Source organism: Homo sapiens, chromosome 1 (genome assembly GCF_000001405.40).
Source record: "Homo sapiens chromosome 1, GRCh38.p14 Primary Assembly".
Classification (NCBI taxonomy): domain Eukaryota; kingdom Metazoa; phylum Chordata; class Mammalia; order Primates; family Hominidae; genus Homo; species Homo sapiens.
The window spans coordinates 109,860,170-109,878,306 of record NC_000001.11 but is presented as its reverse complement, the minus strand read 5'-3'; the positions used below and the strand labels follow the sequence as shown (position 1 = coordinate 109,878,306).

Here is an 18,137-nt window from a genome sequence, read left to right as displayed (position 1 = left end):
ATACTTTCTTAAGAATCTTTGCTTGGCATAGTGCAATCCATAAAGCACCTACTATATGTCAAGCACTGCAGATGGTATTGGGGATACAGCAGTGAACAAAATGGACTCCTGCCCTCATGGTGCATACCGTCTGTGGTCAAGACAGACATTTAGCACATACACAAATAATTATTATTTTATTATTATTTGTGTATTTGCTTAACAAATAATTATTTTTAATAACAGAGGCAAGGACTTAGATGGAGAGGTATAGGGTGCCATGAGAATGTATAATAGGGGAACTTGACATTGTGGAGGAAGTTTCAAGAAGTATTCCCAGAGGAGGTGCCATTTGAGCTGAGAACTACTTGCAGGGTACTGTTCAATTATCTCTAGCAAGTAAAAACTAGGTTCCTCACACGGCCCCCACGAGACTAGATACAGAATGTGGCCCAAGGCCCTAGGCCAAGGCAGACCCCGGATAGGGAATAAGACCTGGCAGTGATGGGGCAGGGAGGTCCTGAGGGGTTCAGGCTGAGCTTGGGCTCTGACCCCGCCTGTCCTCCAGCACACCCGTGTGCACACCCGAGCCAGCCTGTGAAGGGAAAGATCCTGGCTGCTCAACCACCCATGGACGCAGTGGGGCAGGGCCCCATGACCTCATTGTAATAGTGTCCTACAGCCTGGCCAGCAGGAGGAGAAAACAAACACTGAAAAGTCCCCCAGTGCTCCCTGATGCCGGTTCAGGAAGACTCAGGCGCTGCAGGCTCCAGCCTTTGGGCTGCAGGCAGCGCGCCCTACTCAGGAGGCCTGAACGGAATTCGAAAGTACTTATTTCTCACTGAAAAATTCCAAGGATTGCTCAACATTCCATTAACCCCAGGAGCTGGGGTTTGGCCGGAGACGCTGAGAGACGGCAGGAATGGGAGCCTGTGGGCCTGCCGCATGGCTCAGCACTGTCAGGGAATAGCTCCTCTGCCCTGCTCCCTGGGGGCACAAGGTGGGGGCAGGGGTTGCAGGGGGCTGTCAAGACCCTCCCTCCCCCAACGCAGGGGCTCTGAGTGTGGGGTGATTTTGGTGGAGCTGGAAGGAAGCTGGGGGAAATCTCCTGGCTTCTGTAGATGAGAGATGCTGTTCCTGCCCCTTGAAGAGAGCTGCCATATTCCCAAGAGGGCTGGGGACTGGGGCCCCAGATTCTCTGGCTCTGGTATGAAGGCCTGTTTTCCCAGCTCTCAGGAGCCACAGCGGGAGTTGCTCACTGAGAAGACTTTCTGTGGTTACCAGGGAGATCAGCTCCCTCTTCCCAGCTTTCTGCTTGAGGAGCCTGGCTCAAATGCCTCCTCCTCCAGGCAGCCTGGTCCATACCTGGACTGAAATCCTTCTCCTAACACATTATGTTTTATAGTATGGTTATTGCTATACATGTCTGCTCTCCCACACTAAGGAGAAAAGGGGAAGGCAGTCACCTTTTTGGTTCATGTGTGTATAATTCTGCAGGGTCCAGTTGGCACAGAGATGTGTGTACCAAGGTGTTTACCGAAGCATTGCTTACAGCAAGGGGAAATGGTAAGTTATCTAAATGTTCAAGAATAGGAGTTTGATTAAATCATCTAGAGTGTACCCATATGTCAGAATGCTAAGCGGCCATCAGCAATTCCATTCTCAGCAATATTTACAGGTATGGGAGAATATTAAAATCAACAAACTTCCATCACACAGAAGGAACATTTTAGTGTTTCCTTTACTTATTATTTTTTATGTAGATAGACAAATACAGTAAAACCCAACCAAAACATGATCTGTGTGGGGATAAAAATTGACAAGTGCAGGGTTGTATGATGGTGAAAGCAATAGAAAACAGCATTTGAAGCAAGGGGGAGTCTCTATTGTCCCGAAAAGCACAAGATAAAGATGTTGAAAATTATACTACACTCAGGACTCCGTAGGCTGAACTAAGAAAAGCCCCAAGTGACCGTGAGGCTGTCACTGTCTAATCCTACCCACCTGATCCACAGAAAGGAAGAGCAATTGGCTGGCTAGAGAACAATGACAGGAGAACAGAAGCCTATTGATTATTCCATTTCTGAATAATCATCGAATTGGACATAAATTTTTATTAGACCTGTACTGTATATATGTTTCATATCCTTTCATAGTTAACATTGTATCTTAAGCCACACCTCATTCTATTAAATACTATTTTAAAACATTACGTTATCGTAAACATCCTGTTTTTTTTTTAAGTCTTTGTTCTTATCTTCGATTTCCCCTTCCCCTTATTCATAGGGTACCATTGCTGAGTCAAAAGATATAAATATTTTTAAGATCACCGAAACTTATTTTCAAATTTCCCTGCAGAAAAGCGTTTCCAGTTTCCACTCAGCAGCAAATGAGAGTGTTGCCTGCAGCCCTTCCAGTAGGTAGGTCTATCATTGTTAAAGTCTCAGTGGATGGATTTGAGAGAGATTTTTAAAAGATAGAATTGATGGAATTTGGTGGCTGCTTGTGGGTATGAGAGGTGAAATCAAGAGAAGGAAGAGTTCATGATATTGAGATCCTTGGCTTGGATGTGTAGGACGATAGGGAAGCCTGTAGCTGAGAAAGGCAAAAGAGAAAGAGAATTGGGATCAGGCGAATAGAAATTTTGTTTAGGAGTACTGCACATTTAAAACAAGCAAACAAAAACCATGCAACACTCAGTAGATAAATAAGAAAAAACATTTTCCAAAAGGAAACATGTAAATAATTAAATAATTACAAAATATCAGTCTCACATTTCATTAACTAAGATTCATTTGGCTGAAAAGAATAGAATTTTAATTTTTACAAGTTAAGTTAAAGGAGGGAATTTAGAGGAGATAGCTAGGAAGAGATCCTTACACACTGGCAAGAGTCACTCTATCTCTATCTCTCTTCTTTGTTTGACTGCTCAGAGGAGGTGGGTGCTCTTCTGGGCACGCAAAACAATGAATATCCCCTAGATTCCCCGTATACGTACTTTTCTTCCCATACACATAATGCCTCCAAATGTCCTCTCTTAACGTAATGCAACCATCCCATCTCAGTGTAATGTAACTCAAGTCTTATCCAGCGACTGCATCCAGTTCCAAGTTCAGAATCTACTAAATTAGAAATCTCTTTTTTCCTCTGATAGCTGTTAAGATTTTCTTGTTCTTCTTGATGTTCTGCAGATTTAGAAAAGCCTGTATAGATGTGAATTTACTACCTATTCTACTAAGAACTCAGTGGGCACCTTTTTGTTGTTGTTCTGTTTTGTTTGTTTTTGAGACAGAGTCTCACTCTGTTGCCCAGGCTGGAGTGCAGTGGCACAATCTCCACTCACTGCAAACTCCACCTTCTGGATTCAAACGATTCTCCTACCTCAGCCTACCAAGTAGCTGGGATTACAGGCGCATGCCACCATGCCTGGCTAATTTTTGTATTTTTAGTAGAGATGAAGTTTCACCATGTTGGCCAGGCTGGTCTCAAACTCCTGTCAGGTGATCCGTCCACCTTGGCCTCCCAAATTCCTGGGATTACAGGCGCCTGGCCTCTCTTCTTTTATCTTTTGAGGATTCTAAACCAGCTTAGTTTACAACCATTTTCATCTTGCTCTACTACTTTCTTTCCATCTGGAGGGAGTTTGTTCCCTGCTGACTGCTTTTGTTGGCAGTCTTTCTTCATATTAGTTTTCCTGTTTCTTACCCATGGCAATGTTTAGCTTCTTTTGAAATGTGGCAGCATTGTTTTATTTTCCCCTTTTTCACTGGGGAGGCAGCTTAGAGTGACAGTGAAGAGCTCAGGTTCAGGGGTCATGCTGCCAGGGCTCACATCTCCATGATTTGATAGCTGCACAGCCTTGGGCAGCCTTCTTCAGTTCTCTGAGCTTCCATTTCCTCATCTGTTCACTGGGGGATAATAATAGCACTTACCTAATGGGGTTTTTGGGAGAGTTGAATGAACTAACGCATGTAAAGCACATAGACTATGCCTAGGACATAGTCAGTGTTTAATAAATTTTGGGATTATTTCTACGTATTTGGAGAAAATAAATGAGTTTGGTGTGTATGAAAGTGGCGCTCAAAGCGTTAACTTAGAGGGTCATTTGATGGTGAGTCCAAGTTTAGGATTCTTGGGTGTGTCCTCAAGTCTTCTTGTGGCTCCTCATGATCTTGCCCTCATTGGTGATGTGATTATTACAACCACCAACCACCTCCAACACACTTCATGCACAATGCTGGTGGGAAACAAGGTAACCATTGTAAATGCTACCATTTAAATTGGGTAACAAGGAAGCAACATTCAATGGACACTGGTCCAACATTTAAATCACATCCAGCTGGATAGGGACAGGGAGGTCAGGGCTGTGGCTGAATAATATCACTGTATCCTTGGCAAGGAGTGAGTTCTCTAGTTGGCCAGTCTGTCTCTCCAGGTTTTGCCAGTTGGGAACATTCCCTTTGCCCATATCCACAAGACCCCTAGTGAGCATGGGAGTACAAAGGATCCCCACACTTGAGGCTGTGGTGCCTCACAAATCACTTCCTGTTGGCCTACATACCTGCAGATTACCTCATAGCAGAGTTTCCCCCAACTTGTTGGGTGATAGAAATCTCCTAGGAAATTTGGTGAAAATACAGATCTCCAATCACATCTCAAATTCATGCAGTCTCCAGGGGAGGTGCTTTGAAATCTATGTTCTTAACAATCATCCCAGGGGATTCTTATTGTCAGGAAAGTTTAGAAAATAAACACCTTAGTGATTGTGCAATCACACACTTCCATTTGGCAAACTTGTGCTTTTTTAGCACGTAAACCCTTAAACCTTGCATCATCTTACTGTGAGTTCCACTCTGGGGGTCTCTATGACTAATAACCAACTCCAGCAATGTTGAAGGTATGGGAGGTGTGCTGGCCCTTGCCCATGTGGCTCCAGCCTCTTACCGGCAGCTCTGGAGCCTCTGCCCATCCCCCAGGGCTCAGCAGGAAACTGGGGAGGGAAGGCAGGGCTACTCTGTCCTGCTACGTTACTTCTGCCATGGGGACTTTCACATGGCACTGTGGTGGGGTAGGGAGAGGTTGGTGATTCCTTGTCAGGCAAGGAGGGCACAACACAACATGCTTGGCTGGTTATGGTTCTTTCCAGGTATTGCCATTTCAGTTTTCAGGATTCTACAGCTTCTTAATCAGTGCAGAACCTTTAGTGTGGGAAGAAAATTGGTTTTTTTGCTGTTGGACAAAGGCTATGATGATGAACAAAGGGCATGACTTGGCCATTTGGGACTTCTGGAGACTAACAGAAAGACCTCTCTTAAAGTTGCACCTCTCTGCCCAGGGGTGCCTTGATTGCTTGCTTCTTCTGGGTCTTCTCTTTCTCTCCCTCACAGCACCTTACCAAAGGCTGCAGGAAATCACTAACACATTCTATTATTCTGGTATTTTCATACCAGGTCTCCTAAAGCATAAGCCTGCATAGCACATGGTCTGAGTCCCAAGAAACACTGGAAAGTGGTCTAACCCCTTGATACAATTAGGGAATGCGATTTTTCCCAGCCTAGGATCTGGGGATGCTCTCAGCTACCCGCTTTCACTAACCAACCTTAATTCAGCCATTTGGAGCTTGTCAATTTCCACATCCTAGTTCAAGTTCCATTTTCTGCACTAAGACTCATTAAGTAGTAAGTGACAGAAACACAGCTCAAACTAATTTTGGCCAAAGAAACATTTGTTGGAAGGATCATGTGGCTGGGAGAAGAGCAGAGTGCAACTGGCTCCAGTGACCAAAGGTGATCACAGAGACTCTCTCCACTCCTCATCCTTGTTCTCTCTGCACATCAGTGTCATTCTCTCACAGAGGGTTGGTGCAGATGGCAGGAGAATGCCTCTGGCGGCTGCTGTGACTCACCAACAGAGAAGGATGAGGCTTGTTTTCTCTAATCATAACATTTTAAATCACTAAGACAGACTCTGAATGGCTTAGTTTGGCTCAGTTATTCAGCTCTATTTTGGACCACATGTTTAAAAGGAGGTGAAGGAGCATTTCCCAGAAGAAGGGTATTTTCTAAACAATAAAATGTGACAGAACAGAACAGTAGAATTGTTCTACCCAAAAATTTTAAAAATGCATATTAAAATGACAAATACCATTGGGATGAAATGGCCGGATGCAGTGGCTCATGCCTGTAATCCCAGCACTTTGGGAGGCCGAGGCAGGCAGATCACTTGAGGTCAGGAGTTTGAGACCAGCCTGGCCAACATGGTGAAACCCCATTTCTGCTAAAATACAAAAAAAATTAGCTGGGTGTGGTGGTGTGTGCCTGTAATCCCAGCTACTTGGGAGGAGGCTGAAACAGGAGAATCACTTGAACCTGGGAGGTGGAGGTTGCAGTGAGCCGAGAGTGCACCACTGCACTCTAGCCTGGGCAACAAAGCAAGACTCCATCTCAAAAAAAAAAAAAAAAAAAAACATTGGGATGAAATGGAAATACCTAAAGCTGGTGTATTATTTTCTATTGCTGCAGTAACAAATTACTACAAATTTGGTGACTTAAAACAACACAAATTTATTCTTTTACAGTTCTGTAGTCAAAAGTCCAACAGGGGTCTCACAGGACTAAGATCAAGGGGTTGGCAGGGCTGTGTTCCATTCTGGAGGCTATAAGGGAGAATCCGTTTCCTTGCCTTTTCCAGCTTCTAGAAGCCCCCCACTTTCCTTTGCTTGTGGCCCCTTTCTCCGTCTTCAAAACCAGCAACATAAGGCCGAGTCCTTCTCACATGGGTGTCTCTCTGGTCCTCTTCGGACACCTTCTTCCACTTTTAAGGACCATTGTGATCACATTGGGCCCATAAAGATCATCCAGGATACTCTCCCATCTCAAGGCCAGTAGATTAGCAATCTAAATACCCCTTTTCCATGAAAGACAATCCATTCATAGGTTCTGGAGATTAGGACATAGACATCTTTGGGGAGAAGAACAATTAATTCAACCATAACTGTAAGAGTACAGTGAGTACATCCTCTCAAATTCTTTTGGTAAAGTTGTAAAATTTCATAAAATTTCTGGAAAGCAAATTAGCTGTTTGGTAAAATAGGCCTTAAAATGTTCATATGTACTTAGCCAACAATTCTAATAATCTGTCCTAAAAAAATGCTAAATGCATGGGGGAGGGTGAGTTATGCACCAAAGTGTTCATCACCACTTTACTTATATCACAAAAAATTTGAAACAACCTTAATGTCCAGTGGCAGTAAGGCTAAATTAACCATATTATATTCATATAAGGAAATATTATGTTGACAGTTTAAAAAGTATGTTTATGAGAAGCTTTTGATGAAATGAAAATGTGTATATGCCCTAATGTTAAGTAAAAAGAGGAGTATATCTATACCTACCAATTTGTTGTGAACCTAAAGCAACTCTAAAAAATAAAATGTAATAGTTTCTTTTAAGAAATGAATACAAAATAATCATAGCTACAGTATGACCTCAACTCTACTGAAAAATAGATTTGGCCATGCGTAGTGGCTCACCCCTGTAATCCCAGCACTTTGGGAGGCTGAGGCGGGTGGATCACCTGAGGTCAGGAGTTTGAGACCAGTCTGACCAACATGGTGAAACCCTGTCTCTACTAAAAATAAAAATTAGCCTGGTGTGGTGGTGTGCGCCTGTAGTCCCAGCTACTCAGGAGCCTGAGGCAGGATAATCGCTTGAACCTGGGAGGCAGAGGTTGCAGTGAGCCAGGATCGTGCCACTGCCTTCCAGCCTAGGTGACAGAGAGAGACTCTGTCTCAAAAAAAAAAAAAAAAAAAAAAAAAAGATTTACAAAAATATCTGGAAAGGAAAATGTGGTGGGATTTTTGTAGATAATTTTTTTCTCTATATGTACTTCTTAATTTCATTTTTTGATATACGATCTCACTCTGTCACCCAGGCTGGAATGCAGTGGCCCAATCGTAGCTCACTGCAGCCTTGAGCTCCTGGGCTCAAGCAATCCTCCTGCTTCAGCCTCCTAAGTAGCTAGGACTACAGGTATGTGCCACTTACCCCTGACTAATTAAAACAATTTTTTTTGTAGAGACAGGGTCTCACTATGTTGCCCAGGCTGACTCTTTATTTATTTCTAAATTGGCCCTTAGGTACACAGAATAGTGTTCATTATCATCCTTGTTTCGTTACACACCACTATCATTAGTCCAGGCATGGCTACTTCCATTTATTGATTTGGTTAGTAGTTGGCTAGTTATTTTGATAATGCAATGAGTACCCACAAAGCTAACACTCTGAACAAAAGCATCACTAACCTTACCATCACTCCTATTCCACATCCCTCACATACACAACCCCTCCACACTGTTTCTATTTGAGACAAACATGATCTCAAATCCCATGTTTATCTTTTCTTCGTAAATAGTTTTATTGCATTTACTGTGGAACTGCCAGTCCCTTACAAAGTCTTCTCCTTTCATTTTTTTCCTGACAGTTCTATGAGAAGGAAAGGGACAGGAAAGGGTTTTCATTATTAGATAAAATAAATTCTGGCTAGGCACGGTGGCTCACGCCTGTAATCCCAGCACTTTGGGAGGCCAAGGCGGGCGGATCACGAGGTCAGGAGATTGAGACCATCCTGGCCAACATGGTGAAACCCCGTCTCTACTAAAAATACAAAAAATTAGCTAGGCGTGGTGGCGGGCGTCTGTAGTCCCAGCTACTCAGGAGTCTGAGGCAGGGGAATCACTTGAACCTGGGAAGCAGAGGTTGCAGTGAGCTGAGATTGCGCCACTGTACTCCAGCCTGGTGACAGAGCAAGACTCTGTCTCAAAGATAAATACATACATACATACATACATAAATTCTACACTCAAGCAGCAAGTGTTGACATAATGGTAACCAACAAAATGCCATCTTAACTATTTATTCCTCAAACCATCTAGCTCATTCCAATAATACCCATACTTGGTTCAGAAGTTGCAGTTCAGCCCCTGAATGTGTGTGGTCAAATTCCACACTCCTGGTAAAGGGAAGTTTTGAGGTGCCTGAGTTTCATGTGAGACCCAGGCCTTCCTTAAGGGGAGAGCCACTTTTCCTAGTCACATTCTCTGGTCTGTCTCAAGATGGGGCCAGGCTACTTCTGCCTCATGGAACACAGTTAACCCACCTGGAGTCCAGATAGATAAGTCAAGGCCTCTGGCCCAAGCTTCTTCAAGGTCCTATTAATTCCAGGACCCTCAAGTAGACTTTTGTGTTGGGATTTTATTTTTCTCTCTTATGCACCCGGTAAATACTTCCCCAGGAGATCTCTTACAAGCATCAGCTGGAGACCTTAACCAAGGACCCCTATCAGGATCACCTAAGAAGCTTTTAAGAACTACAGATGCCTAGGATCAACCCCACTCCAAGAGATTCTGTAAGTCTTGTGTCAGGAGTTAAGGCCTCCATTTCCTTGGAGACCTTACATACATACTCCATTAAGAACCACAGCCAAGGTGTGAACCTGCCTTGGTCTTCTTTAAGTTCTTCCAGTCACCTGGCTTTTAGGCCTATGTTTTAGGAGTCAAGTGTCCATCCTGTGTTTTCTCATGCCTCCCAGTAGATTGACATTCACCTTCTGACTGTTAGGAAAATGGCCAACAGTCCTTGAGAGTTGCTGGCATTGGCTGTTTTTTATTTCTTGGCCATCATGGTCTTCTGTGGCTGATTGATTGATTGATTGATTGAGACAGGGTCTCACTCTGTTGTTCAGGCTGGAGTGCGGTGGTGTAATCTCAGCTCACTGTAACCTCCATCTCCTGGGCTCAAGCAATCCTCCCACCTCAGCCCCCTGAGTAGCTGGGACTACAGGGGTACACCACTATGCCTGGCTAACTTTTGTATTTTTATGTTCCTTTTTTAAAGAGACAGGGTTTCACCATGTTGCCCAGGCTGGTCTTGAACTCCTGAGCTCAACTGATCCGCCTGCCTTGGCCTCCCAAAGTGTTGGATTACAGGCGTGAGCCACTGTGCCTGGCCCACAGCCATTTAAAATCTCTTTCTCTTTCTCTCTCTCTTTTTATTTCTCTGTTTTTCTCCATCCTTTCCCATCTCTCATTTTAGATTATCCTGTGGGTCAGGATCAGCTTTGTTCTTTTCCTGTTTTTCCCCATGCAATATGCACCTGCAGATTTCTTTTTTTTTTTTTTCTTTTTTTTTTTTTTTTGAGACAGAGTCTCACTCTGTTGCCAAGCTGGAGTGCAGTGGCGCAATCTTGGCTCACTACAACCTCTGTCTCCCGGGTTCAAGAGATTCTCCTGCCTCAGCCTCCCAAGTAGCCAGGACTACAGATGTACACCACCAGGGCCAGCTAATTTTTTTTAGTAGAGACGGGCTCTCACCATGTTGGCCAGGATGGTCTCGATCTCCTGACCTCATGATCCCGCCTCAGCCTCCCAAAGTGCTGGGATTACAGGAGTGAGCCACCATGCCTGGCCACACCTGCAGATTTCTATCCTCCATTTTTGAGACCCCAGAGGCAAAAAGATTTCTCTCTTCAGAACTGGCTTGAAAAATCCTTCAGAAAGACCATGTTTGAGGGGGTGATTAGAATAATGGCTAAGAGCATGGACTCCAGAGCCAGAGTTCAAATCCTGGCTGTGTGAACATAATGAAGTTATGTAACCCCTTTGTGTCTGTTTCCCCCTAAAATGAGGATGATAATTGTATTACTTCATTGGGTTCTTGGGAGAATTCAATGAGCTAATGATGTGCTCAAAACAGTGCCTGGTACATGGTAAGCTCGTATATAACCGTGGCCATCACTCATCCTGCAGACAACACAAGAATGTTTAATTTGCTTTATGAGCTCAACTATCCAAAAGTAGAAGAAATAAGAAGAACTCCTTTGTTGGATCTAATGTTAAAAACATATGTCAATATTGGTTTATGATGCACAAGTGACTAGAGCTTGGGAGAAAGTAATGGCTTTGTGGAGCTCTTTATGGTGCAGAAGGGACCTGTTCATCTCACTCAAGGAGAGCAGATTTCAACAAGTTGGGAAATTTGCATGAGTCAAAAATATTGAAGGAGAATATGGCTAAAGAGGGACAGAAATTTCTAAGAAGTAATATGTTCATTATGTAGTCACAAATGAACCAAGGAAACATGCTGGGCCCCACCTTCTTCCTTGTTTCCTTTTTCATCCCCCTTTAAATTCTGTCCAGTTTAAATCCTAAGTTTGTCTTGCTGCTTCTTCCCATTCCCGCATCATCCACTCTCCTTCAGACTACCTTTATTTTTCACCTGGGCTCCCAACTGGTCTCCCCATATCAACTCTGGCACCTTTTAGAGTTCAAGGCATTCTCCACCCTCCACACTATACCCACAGTGATTATTTTGAAATATAAATCTGATTGCAATCCCATCATCCCTATCCTACCTCCCACCCTTAGAACCACTCACTGGCTTTCTAGCACCTCCAGGATAAAGAAAAACAGTTTTAACAGCCTACCAGACCCTGCTGAGTCTGGGCATCACCTGTTTCTCTAGCTTCATCAAGCTCCATCTTACTCTCTTTACTCTACCCATAATGGCCTTCCTTTAGTCCCAATCACCAAATTTTCCTGTGCCACAGGGCTTTTGCATGTGCAAGTCTCTTCCTGGAAAGCTCCTTCTCTTCCCCCTGTCTGTACCCCAACCCTTTTTAAAATCAATAGGCTATTTTTTTTTTTACAGTAGTTTCAGGTTTATAGCAAAATTGAGTGGAAAGCACAAAGAGTTCCCATATACCCTGTCCCACCCCCACCCCCATCCCCATACACACACAGCCTCCTCCACCCTCAATATCCCGAAATAGTGTGGGACATTTGCTACAACTGATGAACCAACGTAGATGCATCATTATCACCCAAAGGCCATAGCTTACATTATGATTCATTCTTTGTGTTGTACATTCAATGGGTTTACACAAATGTATAATGATAGATACCCACCCTTACTGTTTCACTACCCTAAAAATCCCTTGATCTTTAATTTCCTAGTGACTATGATGTTGGGCACCTGCTCATATGCTTACTTGCCATCTATCTACTTTGGTGAGGTGCCTGTTCAGATCTTTTGCTCATTTCTAAATTGAGTTGTTTCCTTCCTTTTTGACCTCAGTCAATCCTTCCCACTCATCTTTTAGATCTCAGTGATCCCTTTCTTGCATCTTTAACTAGATTTAAGAAAGAAAAAAGGCTCCTTATAAACTCTTCGCTATGTGCCTCTTCACAGTTATTGAGCTGTAATTTTATATTTATTTATGTAATTATTTGAACAGTGCCCCTTTCTTTGAGTTTGTAAGAGCAAGCACCATATCTGCTTTTGTTCCCTGGTATATCAGTAGTTCCTAGTGCTGTACCCAACATGTAGTAGGGGCTCCACAAACAGACCAAGGAATAATTAATAACCTCATTGAGAAGGAAGGCGAACTGGGCCCAGAGCAGTCATCTAAAGAACCACCTCAAATACACGGTGAGTTCAGAATTTCAAAGAGCAGGTATAGCAGTGGGAAGGGGCAGAGGGCCGAAAACAAATGCCCAAAGCAGCACCAGCCCACAAGACTGGGGTCAGGAATACTAACACGTAAAATGAGCTGAGGCTTAAACAAATGACAGAAACCAGAAACCCTGTTTTAGAAAAGTATCTGAAGCAAGAAAAACAATGGGGAAGATCCAGGCCCCACACTTAGTGGAGGGGACAAATTTTTTCATGCATAATGTTTTTCTCCCTCAAGAAGAGTAATTCTCAAACCGGAAAGTGTAAAGGCAAATTCCAGAAGAACGTGGAGCGCAGCCATGAGGAGGTGGTGGAAGCATCTGGCCACATTCGAGTTCTGGTTTTAGAGGAATCTCCTCGGAACTCGGGGATGTGATTGCAGAACTACTGTCCGTGATTTCTGAGAAATTTGGGAAAGGAGCCAACAGCCAGGGAAGTGTGAAATGTTTGTCAGTTTTCAAAACGGAGGAATGTCTAAATGGGGTAAATTTAACGACCTCTGACTTCCAAACAACATTAATTCATGGTACAAGTGTGAACTAGATTTGTAATGGAGTGCCTAGAAAGTGGAATTTTACATCTTTCTGCCTCAATGAACTGCCACTTAAAAGTTGCCAGCTAGCAAGAGGAGGCAGCCAATCTTCTTAGAGGAAGTCTTTGTTCTTAGAACAATCGTGTGAATGGTCTCCTTCAGTTACGTAAATGTGGGCAGCTAGGCACCCATCATCCTGAGAAGAGGATATAACTGGACATTTTTTCCCTACTGTGTGGCTTGACAAAGGCTGTTCTCTATATTTCTTGGTATGAAGAGCTGGTTGCTGAAGCATTTGGACAAATGTATACAGGAGCACAAGGAGCCTTCTGGGAGAAGACGGATCTGAACCACTCCCTTCTTATTTGAGGCAAAAGGTAACTCTGATGGGCTGAAATGATCGTACCTGAATCCATGGATGGGTTCCACCTGAAATGACCAAGAACCACCGCTCACACCCACTGCACCCACCCAAGTGGAAGAGGAGGTGTGAAACGATGGCTTGATTGTCCTCTGGCATGGTGCATGGCTGAGGCTGACACACCCAGAAAGCCCAGCTGCTTCACCAGAGGGGTGTCTGTGTGTAGCAGCCCACATGTGGTACACTCTTGTCTAAGCATGACACTGCAGGAGGACTCAATGCAGCTCGCGTCAGGAGCTGGACTATTTGTGTGATAGGACTTTGGCAGGACTGGTTTACAAGATACTGGTCACAGAGACCCCTGCTGATAAAATAGGATGTGGTAAAGAAGCCAGCCAAAACCAAGATGGCAACAAAAGTGACCTCTGATGGTCCTCACTGCTCATTATACACTAATTATAATACATTAGCATGCCACAAGACACTCCCATCAGCACCACAACAGTTTACAAATACCATGGCAACCACTGCACTACCGTATATGGTCTAAAAAGAGGAGGAACCTTTGGTTCCGGGAAATCTCCACCCCTTTCCTAGAAAACTCATAAATAATCCACCCCATATTTAGCATGTAATCAAGAAATAACCATAAGTATAGCCAGCCAGCAGCCCATGAGGGCTGCTCTGCCTGTGGAGTAGCCCCCCTTTTATTCTTTTACTTTCTTAATAAACTTGCTTTCACTTTGCTTGCTTGCTCTTGAATTCCCTCTTGTGCAAAGCCAAGAACTCACATGGCCTCCCAGGCTGAACCTTAATTTTGGGGTTCACCCTGTGACATTAGCAGCAGTGCATCAGGAGCTGGGGTGGGAGTGGGGGAATTCTAGTTTCAACAGTGATAGAGATGGCAGCATCAGAGAGAGCCTGGGTTCCTTCAGCCAAACACTGCATAAACTACAACAATGCACAGGCAGCAGGGAGAGAGAGGGTTTTGCTCATGAGGAAAGAAAAGAACTTATAGTTGAGGAATGTGAGTCCTTTTAAATCATCAGTCCCAGAGAGATATTAAAATGAGAAAGCAATCACATTCTACTTCCCCCTTGAGCTATGTATTCATCTCTTAAAACTGCTTGCTATTGCCACAAATAGCACTTGGACACTATATTGCTTAATAATGTATAGCAAATCACTCTTCAATGTTACTTTTGTGTATGTGTGTTTTTTTGTTTTTGTTTCTGTTTTTGTTTTTTTGAGACAGAGTTTCCCTCTTGTTGCCCAGGCTGGAGTGCAATGGCACGATCTCAGCTCACTGCAACCTCCGCCTCCCGGGTTCAAGCAATTCTCCTGCCTCAGCCTCCCAAGTAGCTGGGATTACAGGCGCCCACCACCACATCTGGCTGATTTTTGTATTTTTAGTAGAGATGGGGTTTTCACCATGTTGGCCGGGCTTGTCTCCTGACCTCAGGTGATCCACCCACTTGAGCCTCCCAAAGTGCTGGAATTACAGACGTGAGCCACCATGCTGGCCCAATGTTACTTTCGTAAACCAATGAGAAATCCTGACAAACAACTTTGTATCAGCCTACTCCCTGTCCCCACTTTCTGCCTTTAAAAATCCACTTGTGGCCAGGCGCGGTGTCTCATGCCTGTAATCCCAGCACTTCGGGAAGCTGAGGCAGGCGAATCACGAGATCAGAAGTTCAAGACCAGCCTGACCAATGTGGTAAAACGCCCTCTGTACTAAAAATACAAAAGAAATTAGCTGGGCATAGTGGCGGGCGCCTGTAATCCCAGCTACTCAGGAGGCTGAGTCAGGAGAATGACTTGAACCCAGGAGGCAGAGGTTGCAGTGAGCCGAGATCACACCACTGCACTCCAGCCAGGTGACAGAATGAGATTCGGTCTCAAAAAAAAAGTCTACTTGTAACTGCTGCTGATCAGAGTGTGTGTTCAGGACAACTTGAATCTATGCTGCCTGGTTGCAATTCTCAAGCTTGGCCCAAATAAACTCCTTACATTAATTTTGCCTCAGCTTCTTCCTTTTAGGTTGACACTTACTTGGTGTACTGGGCTGAATAGCAACCCCCACCACCCCAAATTCATATCTACCTGGAACCTGAGAACATGACCTTATTTGGAAGTAGGGTCTTTGTAGATGTAATCAGTTAAGATGAGGGTCTGTTTGTTTTGGGTGGGCCCTAAATGTGATGTGACTGGTATCCATATAAGAAGAGGAGAGGACACAGAGATTCATATGGGAAGTCCAGGTGACCTTGGAGATAGAGATTGGAGTGATGCACCTGCAAGTCAAGGAATGCCAAGGTTTACCAGCCAGAAGGAGCCAACCCTGCCAGCACCTTGATTTCAGACTTACGGCCCCCTGAACTGCAAGACATTAAATTTCTGTTGTTTTCAGCCACCGATTTGTGGTACTTCGTTACAGCAGCCTGGTAACAAATTGATTTGGGCATGTGGGGATTCAGGAGATTAATCTGGAAAATAAGAAATAATGAGAATCTTATTTGAATCCCAGACTGGTAAGGCAAGTTACACTAATTACAGATTATTAAACAGATGTCTTATCTGCTCTGATAAACCAACAAAATGCTGAAATGACATCTTATAATATTTTTGCGGATAAGCTAGGAAAAATGTGGGTTCGATGATGGTACAAGTTGAGGGTTTTCAGCTAGTTTAACACCCGATTGGATTGACCAAATGATGCTGGCCCACAGGAAAATTGCATGACTCTGTCCTTTACAGTAACTTGGATAATACTTTGAATATGTTCTTTTTTTTTAATACTTTAAGTTCTAGGGTACATGTGCACAATGTGCAGGTTTGTTACATAGGTATACATGTGCCATGTTGGTTTGCTGCACCCATTAACTCATCATTTACATTAGGTATTTCTCCTAATGCTACCCCTCCACCTGCACCCCACCCCATGACAGGTCCCCATGTGTGATGTTCCCCGCCCTGTGTCCAAGTGTTCTCATTGTTCAATGCCCACCTATGAGTGAGAACATGTGGTGTTTGGTCTTCTGTTCTTGAGATAGTTTGCCCAGAATGATGGTTTCCAGCTTCATCCATGTCCCTGCAAAGACATGAACTCATCCTTTTTTATGGCTGCATAGTATTTCATGGTGTATATGTGCCACATTTTCTTAATCCAGCCTATCATTGATGGATATTTGGGTTGGTTCCAAGTTTTTGCTATTGTGAACAGTGCTGCAATAAACACACGTGTGTATTTGTCTTTATAGTAGAATGATTTATAATCCTTTGGGTATATATCCAGTAATGGGATTGCTGGGTTGAATGGTATTTCTAGTTCTAAATCCTGGAGGAATCACCACACTGTCTTCCACAATGGTTCAACTAGTTTACACTCCCCAACAGTGTAAAAGTGTCTCTATTTCTCCAGATCCTCTCCAGCATCTGTTGTTTCCTGACTTTTTAATGATTGCCATTCTAACTGGTGTGAGATGGTATCTCATTGTGGTTTTGATTTGCATTTCTCTGATGAGCATTTTTTCATGTGTCTGTTGGCTGCATAAATGTCTTCTTTTGAGAAGTGTCTGTTCATATCCTTTGCCCACTTTTTGATGGGGTTGTTTTTTCCTTGTAAGTTTGTTTAAGTTCTTTGTAGATTCTGGATATTAACCCTTTATCGGATGGGTAGATCGCAAAAATTTTCTCCCATTCTGTAGGTTGCCTGTTCACTCTGATGGTAGTTTCTTTTGCTGTGCAGAAGCTCTTTAGTTTAATTAGATCCCATTTGTCAATTTTGGCTTTTGTTGCCATTGCTTTTGGTGTTTTAGTCATGAAGTCCTTGTCCATGCCTATGTCCTGAATGGTATTGCCTAGGTTTTCTTCTAGGGTTTTTATGGTTTTAGGTCTTATGTTTAAATCTTTAATTCATCTTGAATTAATTTTTGTATAAGGTGTAAGGAAGGGATCCAGTTTCAGCTTTCTACATATCACTAGCCAGTTTTCCCAGCACCATTTATTAAATAGGGAATCCTTTCCCCATTTCTTGTTTTTGTCAGTTTTGTCAAATATCTGATGGTTGCAAATGTGTGGTGTTATTTCTGAGGCCTCTGTTGTGTTCCATTGGTCTATCTCTCTGTTTTGGTACCAGTACCATGCTGTTTTCGTTACTATAGCCTTGTAGTATATTTTGAAGTCAGGTAGTGTGATGCCTCCAGCTTTGTTCATTTTGCTTAGGATTGTCTTGGCAATGCGGGCTCTCTTTTGATTCCACATGAACTTTAAAGTAGTTTTTTCCAATTCTGTGAAGAAAGTCATTGGTTTCTTGATGGGGATGGCATTGAATCTATAAATTACCTTGGGCAGTATGGACATTTTCACGATATTGACTCTTCCTATCCATGAGCATGGAATGTTCTTCCATTTGTTTGTGTCCTCTTTTATTTCATTTAGCAGTGGTTTGTAGTTCTCCTTGAAGAGGTCCTTCACATCCTTTGTAAGTTGGATTCCTGGATATTTTATTCTCTTTGTAGTAATTGTGAATGGGAGTTCACTCATGATTTGGCTCTATGTTTGTCTGTTCTTGGAGTATAGGAATGCTTGTAATTTTTGCACATTGATTTTGTGTGTATTTCTGTGGGATCGGGGATTATATCCCCTTTATCATTTTTTATTGCATCTATTTGATTCTCCTCTCTTTTCTTCTTTATTAGTCTTGCTAGCAGTCTATCAATTTTGTTGATTTTTTCAAAAAAACAGCTCTTGG

At 43.3% G+C, this 18,137-nt stretch overlaps 1 long non-coding RNA gene across 1 annotated transcript in view, besides 2 other annotated features; it reads right to left on the bottom strand.

Moving 5' to 3' along the window:
* Positions 1 to 18,137, bottom strand: part of LINC01768 (long intergenic non-protein coding RNA 1768) — a 77,840-nt gene that overhangs the window by 27,587 nt on the left and 32,116 nt on the right. The window lies entirely within an intron of this gene.
* Positions 628 to 816: a silencer, noted in NCBI's record as "fragment chr1:110420113-110420301 (GRCh37/hg19 assembly coordinates)". NCBI's record gives its function as "represses an EF-1alpha promoter that drives an FKBP-Casp9 reporter gene in an ReSE screen in K562 erythroleukemia cells {active_cell/tissue: K562}" and the evidence as "EXISTENCE:reporter gene assay evidence [ECO:0000049][PMID:32094911]".
* Positions 12,889 to 13,434: an enhancer, noted in NCBI's record as "OCT4-NANOG hESC enhancer chr1:110407495-110408040 (GRCh37/hg19 assembly coordinates)". NCBI's record gives its function as "activates a minimal SCP1, AML or CMV promoter by ChIP-STARR-seq in primed H9 embryonic stem cells {active_cell/tissue: H9 hESC(primed)}" and the evidence as "EXISTENCE:reporter gene assay evidence [ECO:0000049][PMID:30033119]".